This window comes from Homo sapiens, chromosome 8, assembly GCF_000001405.40.
Source record: "Homo sapiens chromosome 8, GRCh38.p14 Primary Assembly".
NCBI classification, from domain to species: domain Eukaryota; kingdom Metazoa; phylum Chordata; class Mammalia; order Primates; family Hominidae; genus Homo; species Homo sapiens.
The window spans coordinates 119,089,766-119,108,455 of record NC_000008.11 but is presented as its reverse complement, the minus strand read 5'-3'; the positions used below and the strand labels follow the sequence as shown (position 1 = coordinate 119,108,455).

General features: G+C 37.1%; 1 protein-coding gene across 3 annotated transcripts in view; it reads right to left on the bottom strand.

Moving 5' to 3' along the window:
- The window catches only part of COLEC10 (collectin subfamily member 10), a 156,193-nt gene continuing 137,503 nt past the window's right edge, over positions 1–18,690 (bottom strand). For all 3 annotated transcript variants that reach the window (NM_001324095.2, XM_005250756.4, NM_006438.5), the window contains 4 exons: positions 17,236–17,307; positions 6,055–6,108; positions 4,561–4,656; positions 1–2,656 (listed from right to left, as the gene is read on the bottom strand). In NM_001324095.2, coding sequence (NP_001311024.1) covers positions 2,265–2,656; positions 4,561–4,656; positions 6,055–6,108; positions 17,236–17,307 — 614 coding nt within the window. In that variant the 3' untranslated portion in view covers positions 1–2,264. The remainder of the gene's footprint in view (positions 2,657–4,560; positions 4,657–6,054; positions 6,109–17,235; positions 17,308–18,690) is intronic.

Sequence of the window (18,690 nt, the reverse complement as noted above, 5' to 3'; positions counted from 1 at the left end):
TCATTGAGAGAACTATTATTATAACATTCACAGTAAATAATAATAGCACTAACAGTGCACACAATAAATACTCATACTTTGGGGGCTTAGAACAAATCAGAACATGGATCCTTAACATGAAGTTGCCCGTAGGCAACATTTGCTGCATGTCTCTCCTTCCTCTCTTCTTACATATGAGCTTTATTTTCCTACAGGTGTTTCTAGGTTTTCATTCCTCATGATCTGGGATGGCTTTCTATCCAAGGATACTGGCGTTTGATGTCCTACTTTGTAATTTTTATTAAGCTTTTCTGCCTTTAAAGTGTCATGTACTATCATCTCAAAAGAGTTTAACTAGTAACCTGATAAATGTCAAACATATAACAAATTCCTATTATTAAGCTGAATTGAATATGGTATTAATGGGATATCTTGACTTTCATGTCATCATATCCTAATGACATTCTATTTGGTTAGAACCTTCTGAACCTTCCTCCAGAAGTAAGAAATGAAATGATCACAACTTTAGCTAGAAGACTTTTGACCTCAAATCTTTAATTTTAATTAATTTTTAACCCACTTAAAATTTGGGTTAAAAATTAATTAGTTGCCAACATATTAAAATATGAGCTTATGTTACAAAGTCCCAGCTTTCTGACTTCTCTTGAAATATCAGCACATTTAGCAAGATTGGGTCCTCCCTAGCACCAGCAGCAGCCACTGAGGAGCAGCTGGCTCCTTTGGAAGGGCAAGCTGTGCTCAGTGCACTAGGGTCCCCACGTGTTCCACTTCATTTAGGTAAGTCATCTGCCTGGCCCCTGTAGGATCTGAGTTTATGGCCCTTGTTGAACCCACAGAAATAACCTAATTAAGTCCTATCTCATAACCAGTTAGTCACGGGTGAAATCATGAACAGATGGTTTAAGGTGAACATATGTTGTTGATCTGTTTCTCTTACTTCATTAACCATTTTGCCAGCATTTGAAACAGTCTAATCATATGTCAGAAACCATAACTGGAGTAGAAGTTTATAGGGTGATAATCTAGAGTATCTTTGAACTGTTTATTTTTAAATTCCAAGTGAAAGCTGCTTTGAGGTTTGATCTACAGTTCAAGGTAGAATTTTACCAGCTCAGTAAATGTGAGTTCTAAGCATGTTCCGAATTCTGTGCCTCACACATTTCTGTGATGCCAGAGTATTAGAAGGGACATCTCCAGTAGGATTTCTATGACATATATTTATGAAGAGTAAAAGGCCTCCCATGAAATGTCACCATTAGTGATATGTTAGAGGCAAGGATGAGGGGGCCTGGAGATGATGTTGGTAGCACTTTGAAGCTTCCAGAATTTTCTTAAGGCTTCACAAACTCCTTCCCTCATTCCCTATGCCTAAGGTGAATAAAATTGATGCAGGTAAACCTAAGATAAATAAAAATGAAGTTAAGTTAATAGCAGTGGGCAATTTAGCAAGAGAACTATAACCAGTATTGTTTGTGAACAATTCCCCATTTTTTTCTTTTGATTTCAAGAGCTCCATTTTTCTTAAATCAAAGTGTGACTATATAGGGGCCTGAGATTAAGGTGTGAGCCTACAGAAAGGGGTTCAAAGCACCTACTTGGTATATGTTAGTGAAATCGATAGATCAGAAGCACAAAAAGAGTATTTATCATTCCACATGGTCTGAAACAAGACACAAAGCTAGAAGTCCCCCATATAAAGGTTTGGGGTTAAAGCATTTCTATGTCTGTGCCAACAAGGAGAACTTCCAAGTATAGCCATGGCCATAGGGTGTGACTGGTAAAAGATCTGGGCATCTTGGATTCAAAGATCTTATCATTGCTCACAGAAAGCCCTTGTACATGTCTGGCTTTGGGCCAGGGCAGGTTAGCCTAACCATCAACAACCTTCCTAATCATCACCAGTAAACTGGGAAATTATCCACTGGGATAGACACAGAGTGCTCTAGGGAGAGATGGTAGAGCAAATACCAAGAGAACAACTCATTTGACATATAGACAACCAACTATCTCGTGCACAATTAGTAATTAAAATTCTCTCTCAAGACCCATGTAACCTGGCGAGTTATTGGGTCAATAATATACCATGTGTGAAAATATGAAAATCATCACAAAAGAGCATGATGATGGAGGCTCCATACCTCAGTTTAGCATTTTCTAGCTATGTTGACTCAGATCAAATGTAGTACAATCAGGAAAAAAAGGATGGATAACAATAACTGTAATGACGGTCACAGGAAAATAGCAAATACGTAGGATGAGGGAAGTTACTTTTTCTTCTTGATGAACTCACAGACAAAGTACATGGTAAGATGGCACTCTGTGTCATTCCATCTGCCAGAGCTCAGCATCTCCACACAGTCCTCATGACCATAGGGGTCGCTGGGTTCCCCCTCATTCCAGTTGCTATAGTTCTGCAGTGGAGTGTTGTCTGTGAACATGTACTGTCCCTCCCTTTCAAGGTCATTCACGCCAATGAACACCCGAAAGAAGCCACTCTTGGCAACATAGTCAGCGATGAGTGTGTTGGCAGCTTCATCCTTGGGCATGGCTAGCATTCCACCCCGAATCCTGCAGTGGGTTAGGGATTCCCTGTAGTTCTTCTCTTCCTGCACGATGTAGTAGAATTTCTCTTCAGTTTCCCTAATCCCTGCTATCACTGCAGGGAGAGAAAAAGGAGTATCATTACGTATCTCAAAAAGATAAAAGGCAACAAAATTATATGATATTGCCAGATTTACATTTATTTATTCAATATTCAAGAATTATTTTTCAAAGCCCTATTATGAGGTAGTCACAGATTTAATTACCCCCACCTCTAGTTAGCAAATAGAGAACACATATCTACCGTTTGTTCTCCCTTCCTTTTCTCCTCAACTTCTCACACACCTGGCCAGCACAAAGTTGACAAAGACATGTTACATGAACTTTCAGCCAGCCCATCTCATACTATATTTCCCAACATAGTTTATGCTTTAGCTATACTGGTGGCTACATGAGCAGGCCCTTTTCTCTTATACTTCCAAGCCTTTTATGCCTAGAAAGTCTTTTCTACCTGGTAAACTTCTACTCATCCCTTTAGATCTCAGTGGAAATATTTTCCCCTATAAGAAGTCTTTCCAATGCCCTTGGATAGACATGGCAGTCACTCTCCCGAGTTTCCATTGCCCCTTTCACTTCCTCCTTCTAGCACTCAACACATTTTAGTCTCATCGTTTGCCTGCATTTCTCTCCTACTTACCTGTGAATGTCTTAAGGACAATGACCATGTCTTTGACACTCTTTGGCTTCAGTGCCTGGAATACTTATGGGAATGGTAAATGCTTATTGAAATGATGCAGGAATAATACAGATGTTTGTCCACATTGGACCAAATTCCTGGGCTGTGAACATGTACATGAATTGGGATTGTCCATATTTCATCCCAGGTACAAGAGGAAGACTGAGCTACTGAGTTAGCTTCAGGACAGAACTGGAGACTGAGAATCACCCTTCTCTCATAATATGGCATGTATGTTTTGGGTGTCAGCGGCCTCTACATAGGCATTTTAGGATCCATAACTTTAATTCACAAATAAATCTATGACCACTAAAATGTTCAGAACTATTGCTCTATGTTCTCCCTGTATGATCTGGCTTATTCATGACAGTCTAAGTCATATCAGAGACAGAATCTTCAGTACAGATTACAACCAAAGTTATAATTAGTGTGGTTAGTTAATATCAAGTATTTCCTTTGCCTCTAGTGTTACAAGATGAGGATGAACACGAGACAGCATCTATGTGATTCCAACAATGTACAGCAAATATTGCTGAGTTACAATAAATGAAAGTATAAGAAAAAGAAACCAATTTTAACTGTAATTATAATAGTTACCTTATTAATACTGTCTCAGAAAATACATAAGCCCTTTCCACTTCAAGGGCTTTTCTGATAACTAGCATTAAAAAATGGACAAGGGATAACAAAAATGACCAGTATTGGAAGTTGGAAAACAGATAAACACATTATGTTTGTATTGTGGATAGAGGAGTCAGAGAAGCTTGTACTACATTCCTGCTCTACTGCTCATTAGGTCTGTATCTATGGGCAAGGTACTTCCTCTAAGCTTTAGTTATCATAGTAACTACATACTACATAAACAATTATGTAAACTCAGTGAGATAATGCTAGTAGTTGTGCACTATTCCATGCACTCAAGAAAGCAGTTATTGTTATTATTACCTCTATTTTCTGAGATGCTAGTTCTGTGTGACTCTTACTGTCTCTTTTTATTCTTACAGCATAGCTTGCCACACTCTGCTCTTTTCTCCATTCCCCTCACCTAAGAAAGTCTTTCTCTTCCCATAAGCAATGCACATACATATAAATATATGTAGCAGACTTGAGGTGTCCTAGGGGAGTCTTAGTGGATAATTAGCAATTTGGGAGACCCTTAAACTGGTGACACTATCTCAATAGCCCTTTGTCCAACTCAAGATATTTCCATCTAAGAGTACTGGAATTGTAGTGTTGATGGAGATCTATCAATAGATACATAACACAAAAGAGAATATGCTCACCATTCTTGACAAACTTCATAGATGTCTTGAGCCGAGCAATACTAATATCCAGTTGTCCAACAAATTTCCGGTATCTTCCACAATCACAGACAGTACCTTTTAAATGACAAAAACTGTGAATTCATGTTGAAGTACCTGCAGACCAGTGGAAAGGAACATTTGCTCTCTTTCCAATATTCACTATCTTTTTCTAGTCTGGTTCTATATATCTGTGAATGGCTATACTTTAAATCTTTTATTTAAAATAAGGTTTCCAATTTACATTATTTATAGAATTTCAGAAAATATCTTGTAAATGTTTTGAATGAACTATAAGACAATTCTAAACTAGATTATTAAAAAGAAGAATATATATGACAACCACTGCATACACATTTTGGACCATTTGGCATTTTTTTTTTGTTGAACACAGAATGTGTCTGCCCAATCTCAGAATAAAATTTTTACAGCTTTCTTGAAACATATTTCCTGCCAGTGTTCTCTTGTGTTATTGCATTATTCAATAGATGACACAGTTTTTCTAAGACAGAAGAAACTTTTCATGATTAAATCAAATGTTAATTCTAATTATCCATTTAAAATACAGCTTGCATGTTTCAAGGACAAAGTTTGAATCATATAAATAGATTCAACTGAAGTTTGTAAAAGCCAGTTGCCCAGTTTGTGGATTAACTATGATTTTAATGTGTCTTTCATTCTTCTTTGCTCACCTAACTTTTCAACAACCTGCAAATATTGCTGTGACAGAGAGGGAATTACAAGGAAACCGATGTAAAATTCAAATGATTCTCTTTTTCTATTTAATGGCTGTTATACACAAACATTTCAATTTTTTTCCTTTGGTAGCTTGAAAATTAAAAATAATTTTATTAGCCAAAGGAAAAAAATCTATGGCCTTATGTATCCATATTCATATGAAATATGAAGAATGTCAAAAAGTTCTTAGAATTGTCTTCACCATACCTCTGTGGATAGAAACAATTGAAATTACCAAAGTACAATCTACTTTCTTTCCCTGTGTAAAGCACTGGGAATAAAGCTCCAGGACAATAACCCTAGAGAATCTCCGTGGCCATGGAAAGCATGTACTGTAACCAGGGGCCTGTCTGCATCTGGTCAGGCTGCTGCTGCACTCTGATGGCCAGTATTTGGTTGAGATGCTAGTGAAAGGCAAGGCATGGCATGCTGAGGCAGGGCTTACTGCCAGAGTTTTCTCTTGGCCCAGAAGAATTAGGCTGCTTCCTGATGGGCTGGGCTTTCTTCTCATAGTAAGCATGGCAGGGATGAAACGTGTCATCATCCCTGTCCCCAAGGCTTGGAAAGTCACCAGCAGGGAGACAGGAAAGTCCCCTTCTTCCCTTTCTTCTAGCCTGAGGAAAATAAGGTTAAGCATACTAAAAGGACTCTTGCTTTTCATTTGAAATATATTTATTTTTGAGATGAATAAACTTGGAATCATGCTAGAAATCAAAGAGAACATTGAACATATCGTACCTGCTTTGCCTTTTTCTCCAGGTATTCCAAGCAAACCTTTTTCCCCTTTGTCACCTGAAAAAAAACAATAGCAACCAAAATAAAATAAAATTAAAATAAAAGAAGAAAGGAAAAAAGGAAGGAAGGAAGGAAGGGAATGAAGGAAGGAAAAGAAGGAAGGAGGGAGGGAGGGAGGGAGGGAGGGAGGGAGGAAGGAGTGAATTTACATCTAGAGTCAAAGCAGTTTAAATTGTATTTGCAATATCTACAGCTAGTATCTCTAATATCTCTTGGTTTTTATAAATAATGTGATTTTCAATTGGCTACACAGGTGCAACTAATTAAATGAGTCATAATTTATTTAGATTGAATATAGAATTCCAGCAGGGTTTGTAAGAAGAATTTGAATTTGTGTAACCTGTCCTATTAACATTTTTTTTAATAACATGGCCTTCTGAACAAGGCTAATACAATTCTCAGCATGTTTTCAATTTTAAAACTACCATTGTTATGTGAATCTCGATCAATTTGTTAGCACACTGTAGTGTCTTTGTACTTATTATGCCCCAAGTTATTCCAAGTGGCTTTGCCCTTGGATTTCCAAAACAAAACAAAACAAAACAAAAAAACACATGTATTGTGCTTTTTCAACTTAATTAGACAAATATTTACTATTTGCTTACTCTATGAAAACCAAAAGGCTGGGTGCTTTGAAAGGATATACAGAAACATAAGATTCAACCTATGACTTGAAGGAGTTTACAATTTTTAGAAGTGAAGTGATGTATGCAAATACTAATAATACAAAGTCATGTCAAATATATTATACTGAAATAGCAACCTTGGTACTTTCCCTCTCTGTACTTCTTTATATGTAACCATTTTCTCACTCACAGGTATCCACAAAATAATTCTCAGAGAAGCAGGATTTTTAAAGCAGAGAGAAAGAATAAAACACGTTAATTTTTTTTCAACTTCAAAATAAGCTCTTGAAGCCCACATCAGACACAATAATTGAAAGCAAAAGCTTTTGATTTTCAGGAAGAAATGTTTGGCTGAGGTTCTTGAGAATCAAAAGGGAAGACCCTGACAGATTAAAATAGAGTTTATGCTTCAATAGTGATCTGGAAAAAAAGAAAAAGAACTCACGAGGGATGAATGCAGGATGAAGGTCACCTAGGCTAGGTATATGGAGCTTACCCTCACAGGAATGTGGTGTGGTCAGAGAATTAGTTATACGGCCCAAGGGGACAATGCAAAAGGGAATGGAGTTGGTATTAAGGTTCTGCCAAGCCTCACCGTTCACCAGCAACAGAGAAAAAGTGGAAGCCACTCTAAAACCTGTAGGGCGCCCCATGTTGCATGCGCTGAGGACACCCATTGGCTTTTCTCATCATTGTCTGATGTGTTTCTTTAAAAGTTCCTTACATAGTTACTTTTGATCATTCAGAAGAAGGCATGCCTGCTGGGGCCCCAAGGATTTGTTGAGCCTTTCTAAACTGAGCCATGTGGACACATTTCTTTAGAGTTGATGCCAGTCATTCACGTGCTCCCCAAACAGAAGGTGGGGGTCCTTGAAGTCCAGAATACAGTTTACATGTGCAGGAGGAAGGCTTGGAACTTGTACTTGGATGAAATGAGACAACGGTGAAATCTATACCAATGGAACGTGATACATGTTGTGAGAGAGACATTGAACAGAGAGATAACATAGTCTGAGAGGAAGGCAGAAGAGATAGTGCTTCAAGTGGAAGGGTAAAGGAAAGTTTAGCATTTGAGCTTCGCTATGAAAAGCTTCAGCAACTGAATGAAAGTGGGCACAAGGTCAGGTTCAAGGTACAGCAGAGGATATAGTTGGGATAAAGGCATGAGCATATGTCGAGCACCCTGCTCAGTAATATCAATCTGCTCACACCTTAGTTATATCCTGCAAATTCCTTATTTCTCTTACCTGTAAGTTGGAAAAAATAAGAATAGATTTTGAGATATTCATGGAAGAAAGGGAATATACATTTTACTAAGTACCAGTCAATCACCAAGTACTATTCGGGATACCTTACACATATTATCACATTAAATCTCATGAACTAAGTGTTATAATTATCTTTATCCTACAACTTGAAGAAATTGAGGATCAGAGAGGCAAAATAACTTGCTCGAGGACATCTAGCCATTAAATGGCAGTGCTGATATTCCAGCCCAACCATTTCTAACCCCCCTTTCATGGTGCTTCCCAGTGAGTTAACCAATGGTTTAATGAAAAAAAGCAAGGTGTTTGAAAAATGTTATCAAAATTTGCAAAGAATAGCAGTCCTCATCACCATCAAAAACATTATGCACTTAAAAGATTGTATGATTATGGGTTTAATGTTTTGATTTTTTAAAACATTATATTTTCTTTGCATGTGAATCCCTTTTAATTCAACACAGATGGAACGTTGATTCCAGTTATGCTATGATCCTAGTTCTGGGCTAAGCTTTAAAATGGACATAAAAGAAGCATAAATCAAGTGCCTTGGGAAAATGACGGGCTTTTAAGGAAAGCAAAACACACATAAGAGAACAAAGAGATGAGATACTATCATGTACTAACAGAGGGAAGCAAATGAAAAGCCTGGTAGAAATTCAGAAAAAGAAAAGATGGTGTGGATCAGAGTGGAGAAGGCTTCACTGAAGCAGTAGCCCTTAGCTAGAACTTAATAATATAGAAAACAGTTTCTTGAATTGCTATGTGGTCTTTTTTTCTGAGAAGACATAAACTCTGTGACTAGTTTTCAGTATTTTGACATGAATTCTTTTCATTTCATGACAAATGGGAACACCAAAGCAGTGTGGTGCAATGAAAGATGATGAAAGCTCCCCAAAACCAGGGTTTGAATCCTGGCTTTGCCACTTACTGGCTACACATGGACAGGTTACTTAATTTCTCTAAGCCTCCTTTTCTTTATCTTAAAAGTAGAAATAATTAGTACCTAAAATTATGAGATCATTAAGGAGAATAAATTAGGTATAGTAATATTTTCTTATAATCGGATCAGCACTGGGCTTGACTCACATAGAATGCTCAACCAATGTTAACTTCTGTTTCCTGAATCTGAGTTATGGTAAAGGAATGCATGCCAAGTACTTAGCCAGCTTATGGAAGATTTGAGCTTACAATGTCTATTTCCCCAAAACAAATTATGATTTAAAGTCATCCACAAAAACTGATTTTGGCCAATGAGTGGGAACATGTCTGTAATAACTGTCTAAAAGTTGAATTAGAGGTCACATTCAAACAAACAAACAAAAAAATCATAATGCTTTCAGCGTAAATGGATTATTGACCTTAAATAAAAACATTTATTTTGCTATGAGATGGAATTTACCTATACTAAATCACTATTATTTCTTATTCCTAAAATGAAATATTGACATCCAGGAAGCTACCCTATCCATGCAAGTGACAACATTAAGGCCAGCCTAGAAAGTTGAGATTAATCTGAGTCAGTAAAATATTCAGAAAGACAATCACCAAAATGAGGACAATAAATTTCAAAGTACAGATTAAAAATGAAATTAATCCGAGTGAGACGGAACATTGCATCTCCATTTAAAAAGATTCCAGGACATGCTCATAAATTTGATGGCATATCTCTGGAGAGGAAGAAAATCTTAATAGCTAATGGTGGAAATTGATATTAAGGAAAAGTGGTACTTATAGGAATATGGAGTAGTAAAGAGAAACAAGTTGTAAGAAATAATATGTTTTATTATGCAGTTTTTCATGTTTAATGCAACAAACATCTAGCAAGTGTCTATAATATATAATAGGCATTAAGATAAAATGGTTAAATACTAGGGTCCCAACAGAGCTTATTTTATTTAAACAAACAAATCCAGTGAACCTTTCATTCATTTGTTCTCCCAAGAAGTTCAGGTCTATGAGGGGAAACAGATAAGCTAATCAGATATGACAGTGAGTACAGTGATACAGGTATGTATTAGGTGCTATGTACCTGAGCCTTAAAGGAGGAATTAGCATGAAGGAAATAAGGTTAGTTAATCCTATCATTTCAAGACTGGTACTTTTTCAACATCTCTGGAAGTTCATCCACTTTGGGGCTCAGCTAATCGTACTAAAAACTCTTGAGCCTTTCTTGTCTTCGTCATCTACTATGCTCCCACCTTACATAGTCTTATTTTATTCAAGGGTTAAGACTGTGCTTAAGATCCTTAGCTTTAACTCTTCTAGATGGTATCCCATCAAGACTTACACATCTAAATCTAGGGAAGTGCAAAATCTAGAATGACCATTAAAAAATGAAGTTCACTGCTCTCAAAAATATAGCCTAAGAAACAATAACTTTAATCTGGGGAGTTATTGTTTACTGGGTACAGAGCTTCAGTTCTGGAAGTTGAAAAGAGTTCTGGAGGTGGAGGGAGGTGATATTTGCACAGCAATGTGAAAGTACTTAGTGCCATTGAACTGTACACTTAAAAATAGTTAAGATGGCTAAGGTTATGTTGTGTATGTTTCACTGCAATTAAAAAATGTTACTTATCTAAAAAAAAAAAGTTCTTCAATTCTGGACTTATTCATGGCAGCGACTTACCCTCTCCCTCCACTTCTGCTACCTCTGCAGAGCAATACGAGCAATACATGAGATCTTAATCACATTTAGCATAGCTGCATCTCAGAAATTTTGAAGTCCAACATCCCACTTTCCTGCTATACCTTTCTGTCTTTAACCAGTGGTTTAACGAAGTTGATACAGATAGGGACAGATCCATGATGCATTTTATCTGAAGCTTATACAGTTTGAAGGGACTTCTTTAAAAAAAGATACAAAATTAAAAATGGAAAAGTGGTTGTAAAAATGAATATGTATCATAAGAAATAAAAACAAATCACTAAATTTTAAAAGTAGGTCAATTGCACATTACAAAATTCACTAAACATTATAATATTTTCGTCAATGAATGAATTATTGTGCCTTGAAAGTGCTTTTTTTCATAATAATTAGCTATGTATGTTTGGCTGCATTCATATTGCTGTTTTATCTGTCCACAAATTTCTAATATCATTTTTAAGAATGATAGAGGGATAACGTAGTCAGATAATACTCTTTCGCTTAGCACAGTTAACCAAAAATTATTTTATTAAACTTTGCTTACTGAAAAAAAAACACAAAGAAAAGTTTGTCAACACAAAGATTCAGCTTGATGACTTTTTACAGAATAAAATACCTGTGTAAACAATACCTAGATCCTCAAGAAGCCACTTTTGTGTCATCTACAGATTATTACAGCCCTCCTTTCTAAAGATCACCATACTGACTTAGAACTGTGTTACAAGTTTTCAAGCTATAAATTTTTCATGTTGTTGAAATTTCTATAAATAGAACCATTTGGCATATAGTTTTTTTCTGTATAGAATATTTTCCCCAATACTGTGTCCATATATTCATTCATTTTTTGCATATTGAGATAGTATATTTATTTCCATGGTATAGTGAAGCAAAGTATAAGAGTTTCAGTTGTTCTGCATCCTTACCAACACTAGATATTGTCAGTCATTTTTATTTTAGCCATTTTGGTTAGTATGCAGTACTATCATAGTTTAGTCAAATATGTTCTTTTGTTAAGTGACTATTCTTTTGACCTTTTTTATTTCTTTGGGTTATCAGTTATTTTTCTTAGTGATTTGTATAATCTCTTTATATGTTTTACATGTAAGCCCTTTATTGAATACAAAGGTAGCACATAGCCAATTCTGTGGTTTCCTTTTTTGTTCTCTGAGAAGTATCTTTTAATGAATAGAAGTTCTTTATTTTATTTTATTTTATTTTTGAGATGCAGTCTCACTCTGTCGCCCAAGCTGGAGGGCAGTGGTGTGATCTTTGCTCACTGCAATCTCCGCCTCCCTGGTTCAAGTGATTCTCCCACCTCAGGCTCCCAAGTAGCTGGGATTACAGGCATGTGTCACCACACCCAGCTAATTTTGCATTTTTAGTAGAGATGGGGTTTCGCCATGCTGGCTAGGCTGGTCTCGAATTCCCGATCTCAGGTGACCTACATGCCTTGGCTTCCCAAAGTGCTGGGAGTACAGGCGTCAGCTACTGTACCTGGCCAGAAGTTCTTTATTTTGATAGACTTCAATTTGTTAGTTTTTCTTACATGGTTAGTCTTTGTCATATCCTGTTTAAAAACGTGTTGGCTACCCTAGGATCAAAAATATAGACTTCTATATTAACTTCCAGAGGCATTATTGCTTCACCTTTCAAATTTAGGTCTCTCAGATTTGGGTTTACCACCAAATTTAGATCTATAAACCATTGATTTTAGGTACAGTGTTAAGTATGGGATCGAGATTATTATTTTTATACATGAATAGCCAATAACTCAGTACTATATATTGATTAGCTTGTGAATTCTATTACAAAATAGTGTCAACTTTGCATAAATCAAGTTTGGTAGTGTGTTTCTGGACTCTTCCCTTAATTCATTTGTCTATCTCTTCATGAAATTACACTATTCTAATGGTTTAGTTTCCTAATAAATGTATAAACTCAAACTCAGTAATTTAAGTCTTCTACCTTTGTTTTATTTTTCATTTTTTCAAAATTGTCTTGGGTATTTTTGGTCATTTTCATTTACACATATATTTTGAATTGGCTTATCAATTTCTAAAAGAACACTTCTGGGATTTATTTGTTTGTTTTGCTTTGTTTTTTGTTTTGAGATAGAATCTCACTCTGTTGCCCAGGTTGGAGTGCAGTGCTGGGATCTCAGCTCACTGCAACCTCTACCTCCCAGGCTCAAGCAATTCTCCCACCTCAGTCTTCCAAGTAGCTAGGATTACAGGCATGCACTACCATGCCAGGCTAATTTTTGTATGTTTAGTAGAGACGGGGTTTCATCATGTGGCTAGGCTGGTCTCAAACTCCAGACCTCAGGTGATCCATCCACCTCGGCCCCCCGAAGTGCTAGGATTAAAAGCATGAGCCACCGTGCCTGGCCCACTTCTGGGATTTTGACTGAGGTAGCATTGAGTCGATGGATCAATCTGGGAAAGAACTGGCATATTAACAATATTGAGTCTCTCAACCCAGTAACATAGTTTTACCTTCATTACCTTAGATATTCTTTAATTTCTTGTCCATTATGTGTAGTTTATTGTGGAGGGCTTATAACTTTTGTTGGATTTATTTTTACATATTTACTTATTTTGACACTATTATAAATGGTCTCTTTTTAAATTGTTTCTATGTGGAAACAAAATTGATTTTTGTATGTCAAGCCATCTGAAAAACTTATCAATACAAATAGATTATCTATAGATTATTTTGTACTAGGTATGCAATCATGTTCTCCACAAATAACGCTCATATTCCTTTATTTTCAATTATTATGATTTTTATTTTTCTTCCATTTTTTGCTGTGATTAGAACCTCATGCATAATGTTGATTAGAATTGCTGATAGAGGGCTGTGCTAATTTCATTCCCAGTCTCAGGAGATAAAGTGTTCAGTATTTTATTATGGAGTATCATTTTTAAGTAGATTTTTGTTGTTGTTGGTATTCCTTTTCAAATTATGTTTCCTTCTATTTCTAATTTGCTAACAGTTTTTAAAAACATGAATAGGTATAGGTTTAATTAAGTGTTTTCTGGAGTAGTATTTCTGGAGTTCTAACTGGGAATATGGGGGCATTTCCTGGGCCATTCCTCTTTGACAGGCCTTGCATATCAATCCAGTTTCAGCAACTTTCTGCTCAAGCCTCTTAGCCACTTAGGGCTGCCCCACTTATGAACTGGTGGATGACTTGGGAGGAAGGTAGTACAGAATTCATCACTTGCCTTAGTATGATTCCCTTCTCCTCCAGATCATGGCCCCTAAAGTTCTGTTCATTTTGGTTGCACTGTCATACCTTCAGATATGTATTTAAATATTTTTTTGGACCCAGCTAGTCGTACTTAGCAGAAGGATTAATGTAAGACAGGCAAATCCTCATGGCCTGTAGCAGAAGTCTGAATTTTGTCTTTATTAGTAGTAGTGTCAGATTTTTCTTTCACCATTACAACTTGTTATTGGTGTTATATGTAAATTAATAATATTGTCAATTTTGAGACTATACCTCTATAAAGTAGTTTTCATATATAAGCTGTTAGATTTGGAAACTTTTTTTTCCACAGACTAGCTCTGGCCCTGTATATTTCAAACATTGCTTCTTTTCCACAGCCCACACATTTCGTGGGCTGGATGCCCCGGGACTCATTGATATGATGATCCGACCTCTGACTCAGCACTTTTGCATCCTGGCTTTGGATAGAGCTACATAGTAAGTGGTAGGAGTATTCTTGGAAACTATTTCTGCATTGGAATTGCTAGCAATAAGTATACATGGAAGTCACATCAAATTACATAAAGATATCTCATTAACTCCAAACTAAATGTTTCTCCCTCAAGCTCCTCTTAGCTAGCTCCCAAGATTCTTGTATCCACTCCAAAACTGCCCAGTACAAGAAGGATGTTGAGGGAAACTGGAGCAGGAGAGAGAAATCTTAACCTGTGCATTTTCAATGGGGAAATATCACTTAAGGACGCACAAATTAGTTTTTAGGAGGTGGAATTGTACTCTTTTAAAAATATATAAAGCACAAACATACACAGAATACCTAAACAAATATATCATCCATGGGTGGTATTAAAAATTCATGGGGAAAGGCAATTAGAAAAGAAATATGTCTTAAAAGCCTTGTTAGGGGAGTAGTATCTTTAAAAAATGTTAAGAAGCACTATTTTAATCATTTGAGGTGAATCTGTCTTACTTTACAAATTTTATCGAGGTATATGGCCATGTGAACCCATTGCTGTGGCTTTTATCAGCATCTTGGGAAGGACTGAAACACATGAGGACTCTTCATGGTAAAACCATCACAGACACACACTGCAGCAGGACTTCTGAACCATGGGAAGCTCATATTGCTCTTCCCCAGCTATTAAGGATTTCAACCACAAGGAAATACACAATATAACCCACCAGATCTGAGACACCCATAGCAATTTCTCTTCAGTGGCACTGCCCTTCATCCCTGCCTCCGAATGCAGGCTGAAGGGAATTTCTCAAATGAGTGAGTTGGAAAGTGGAGAAAGAGGGAGTACTGAGCCACAGGATGAGAAGAGAGAGGCCACAGCCTAAGCTCAGACCACAGTCTGTCAACCTGCCTGCAGGGACATACTGCTGGACAAGTGAGCCACATGCTTAATTATGCAGCTGCTCAAGCATTTACAAAAAGATGGAGGGTACATCAAGGCTACAGAAATTATATTACCCATGGGATTAAGCTTCCCCTAATCTTTTTTGTACAAGCATCTCTTGCATCTCTCTCTAGTGCCTTTTGCCTATTTCCATAATGTTACTATTCTTCAAGACCTAGGTCTGTTCTTTCGCATATCAGTCTTGCTGCTTACTCTCCAACATGAGTCCTGGAGTAGTCATGTTATTCAGTATTATAATTCTTTTTTTTTTCTTTGAGATGGAATCTCACTCTATCTCCCAAGCTGGAGTGCAGTGACATGATCTTGGCTCAATGCAAACTCCGCCTCCCAGGTTCAAGCGATTCTTGTACCTTAGCCTCCCCAGTAGTGGGGATTACAGGCGTGCACCACCACACCCAGTTAATTTTTGTATTTTTAGTAGAGATGGGGTTTTGCTATCTTGGCCAGGCTTGTCTCAAACTCCTGACCTCAGGTGATCCACCCATCTCAGCCCCCTAAAGTGTTGGGATTACAGGTGTGAGCCACTGCATCCGGCCTCTAATTCTTTTTAAGAAAGTTCTATCTTCCTGAATAGTCTATGAATGTCTTGCAATAAAATTTTATGTTCATTCAGTTTTGTATCTCTAAGTAAAACAATGCTTGCTTAAATTACTGAATATCAGGAGCAATTAGAACCTGCTACCATTGTGGGGCTTTCTGAGAGGAGGACAGGGAAGGAATGCTTAGACAATACAGAGGAGACTATCTCTGTTTTCTAATATTCAGGCTTTAATGATGTATAAGATCAGGGCCAGGTGTGATGGCTCATGCCTGTAATCCCAGCATATTGGGAGGCCAAGGCGGGCAGATCACCTGAGGTCAGAAGATCGAGACCATCTTGGCTAGCACAGAGAAACCCCTGTCTCTACTAAAAATACAAAAAATCAGCTGGGCGTGGTGGTGGGCATCTGTAGTCCCAGCTACTCGGGTGGCTGATGCAGGAGAATTGCTTGAACCCGGGAGGCAGAGGTTGCAGTAAGCCGAGATCCCACCACTGCACTCCAGCCTGGGTGACAGAGCAAGACTCCATCTCAAAAAAAAAAAAAAAAAAAAATTAGGACAAGACTGAAAACAAGTGGGTATCCACATATATGCTCCAAGTTTCTATCCTGTTAATAGATCATAGGCACAGAATTTTTGGTTAATCCACTCAGATTAAAAAAGAAAATTTTACTGTCCTCTGCCTATTTTGTATTTTATTAATAATCATGTATCATTTTGATCATAGCAAGGATTTGTAGCCAACAAGTAGATCCCAGGAGATAATTCAACATAAAGACTATCAGACCTTGATGCTTGATTCTGTTTCTGCCATCTTGTTTCATTTTATTCTAGGTATTTCTTTTTTTGAGCTGTGAGATATATTGCTTATATATGGAAGAAAGAGACAAACTATGAAGACAGACAGAATTATTAATTTAAAAGAAGGAAAAGGAGATATTTTCATGATACAAAACCTTAAAATGATTAAGGGTATCCTCAATTTTCTTTCTTTCTTTCTTTCTTTCTTTCTTTCTTTCTTTCTCTCTCTCTCTCTCTCTCTCTCTTTCTTTCTTTCTTTCTTTCGAGACAGGGTCTTACTGTGTCACCCAGGCTGGATTGCAGTGGTGTGATCATGGTTCACTGCAGACTCAAACTTATGGGCTCAAACGATCCTCCTACCTCAGCCTCCTATGTAGCTGGGACTATAGGTATGTGCCACCATGCCCAGCTAATTCATTTTTTTTTTTTTTTTGGTAGAGATTGGGTCTTGCTGTGTTGTGCAGGCTGGTTTTGAATTCTTGGCTTCAAGGTATCCTCCCACCTCGGTCTCTGAGTGTTGGGATTACTGGTGTGAGCCATCGTACCCGGCCTCAATTTGCTTTGAATTGCTACTGGAGAATAGTAAGATGCAACTTACCCTTCTTCCCAATGGGCCCAGTCTTGCCAATATTGCCCTGATCTCCCATATCACCCAGTTCTCCTTTAATTCCTGAAAAGCAAACATGTTATCTTTTTATCATAAGGTTTTATCTTCCCTTGAAATGTGGCTAATGTGATATTCACTTGAAAGAAATACCAACAAGTATATTCTTCTACCAGTGATATCTAATATATATCCCATGCTATATTGTCTAGTTTAACAGACTTATAATGTATGTATTAAAATTAAAATGTGAGTGAGTATGAATATATACTACGGACATGATGATATTAAAATACTTGCTGATGTAGTATTTCTAGAATGACTATGGCAGAGGATGTTTAAAAGAAAGGTTAGAGAAGGGCCAGGTGAAAGTATTCTTGACTCGATTCTGGTTTTGTTCTTCTTTAGCTCTATTTTGTCTTCCTTCTGGAATTCTATTTCTTCTCTCTTTTAAAACAAGATTTAACAATTGTGCCACTTAAAAACAGGGCGGGGAACATGCAGTCATAAAACCTAATGATCAAAGAAACATCAGACATGGTCCTGCTGAGTTTTCATTCAAAAAACTATGGTTAGGAATCACTGAGCTCTTCCAATGCTATTTCTTTTTATAAAAGTCTAAAAAATATTTGCCAATTAAAAATCTTTATTTTGTAAGAATAATCTTGTAATCGACATGCATATGTATACATAGGTTTAAGTCAGCATTTCCCAAATTGAGGTCTCACAGGTCTGTGAGTCTCTCTTTCTTTTAAACTATTCAAGATTTTAAAATAAGTGGTCTAGGGCAGCCCTCTTGTAGCAGTTGGCAAGAAATATTTCAAGTGTTCAGAAGGTGCACACATACACATCACAACCTAGAAGTTATATTTTGGTGAGGCCAACTCCCAACTTTGTGAGTGAAGACACTTCCTAATCATATCTGTGTTACTCTCTTCATCTTTGATTCCACTCCTCCCGTACCCCACCATTTCTCCAGTGTGTTATTCTTTTGTATATAACAAAGGAGGGAATTAAAGAAATAAAGAGATCTTGGGGAAAGGTGAATAGATCAATGAATCAGGTAGCCCTTTTTGTTTCTTTTTATCTTCCTCCTTAAGCTCTATGCCAGCTTAAAAAAAAAATGCTGCTTAGCAGTGGCTTTAGAAGGGAGACACAGCTATGAACACAGCACTATAACACATCGTTTCTTAAATATTCTCAGACAGTGCTTTTCCCTGGGGCTCCCAGTGTCCCACACCAGCCAGCCCTAAAGAATGCAACTTGAGAAACATATGAGAGTCTTGTTGACAGGTAATCTCAGAGGGGCATTCAGATGGCGAGTTAATTCATGTGTGAAATATATTTCAGGCATTGTTGGGGCAGAGGGCATTATGAAAGCTGCTAATTTCCAGGGCAAGGGCCAGGAGAGATAGAAGAACAATTATGATATTAAAATGTCAGTTTCAC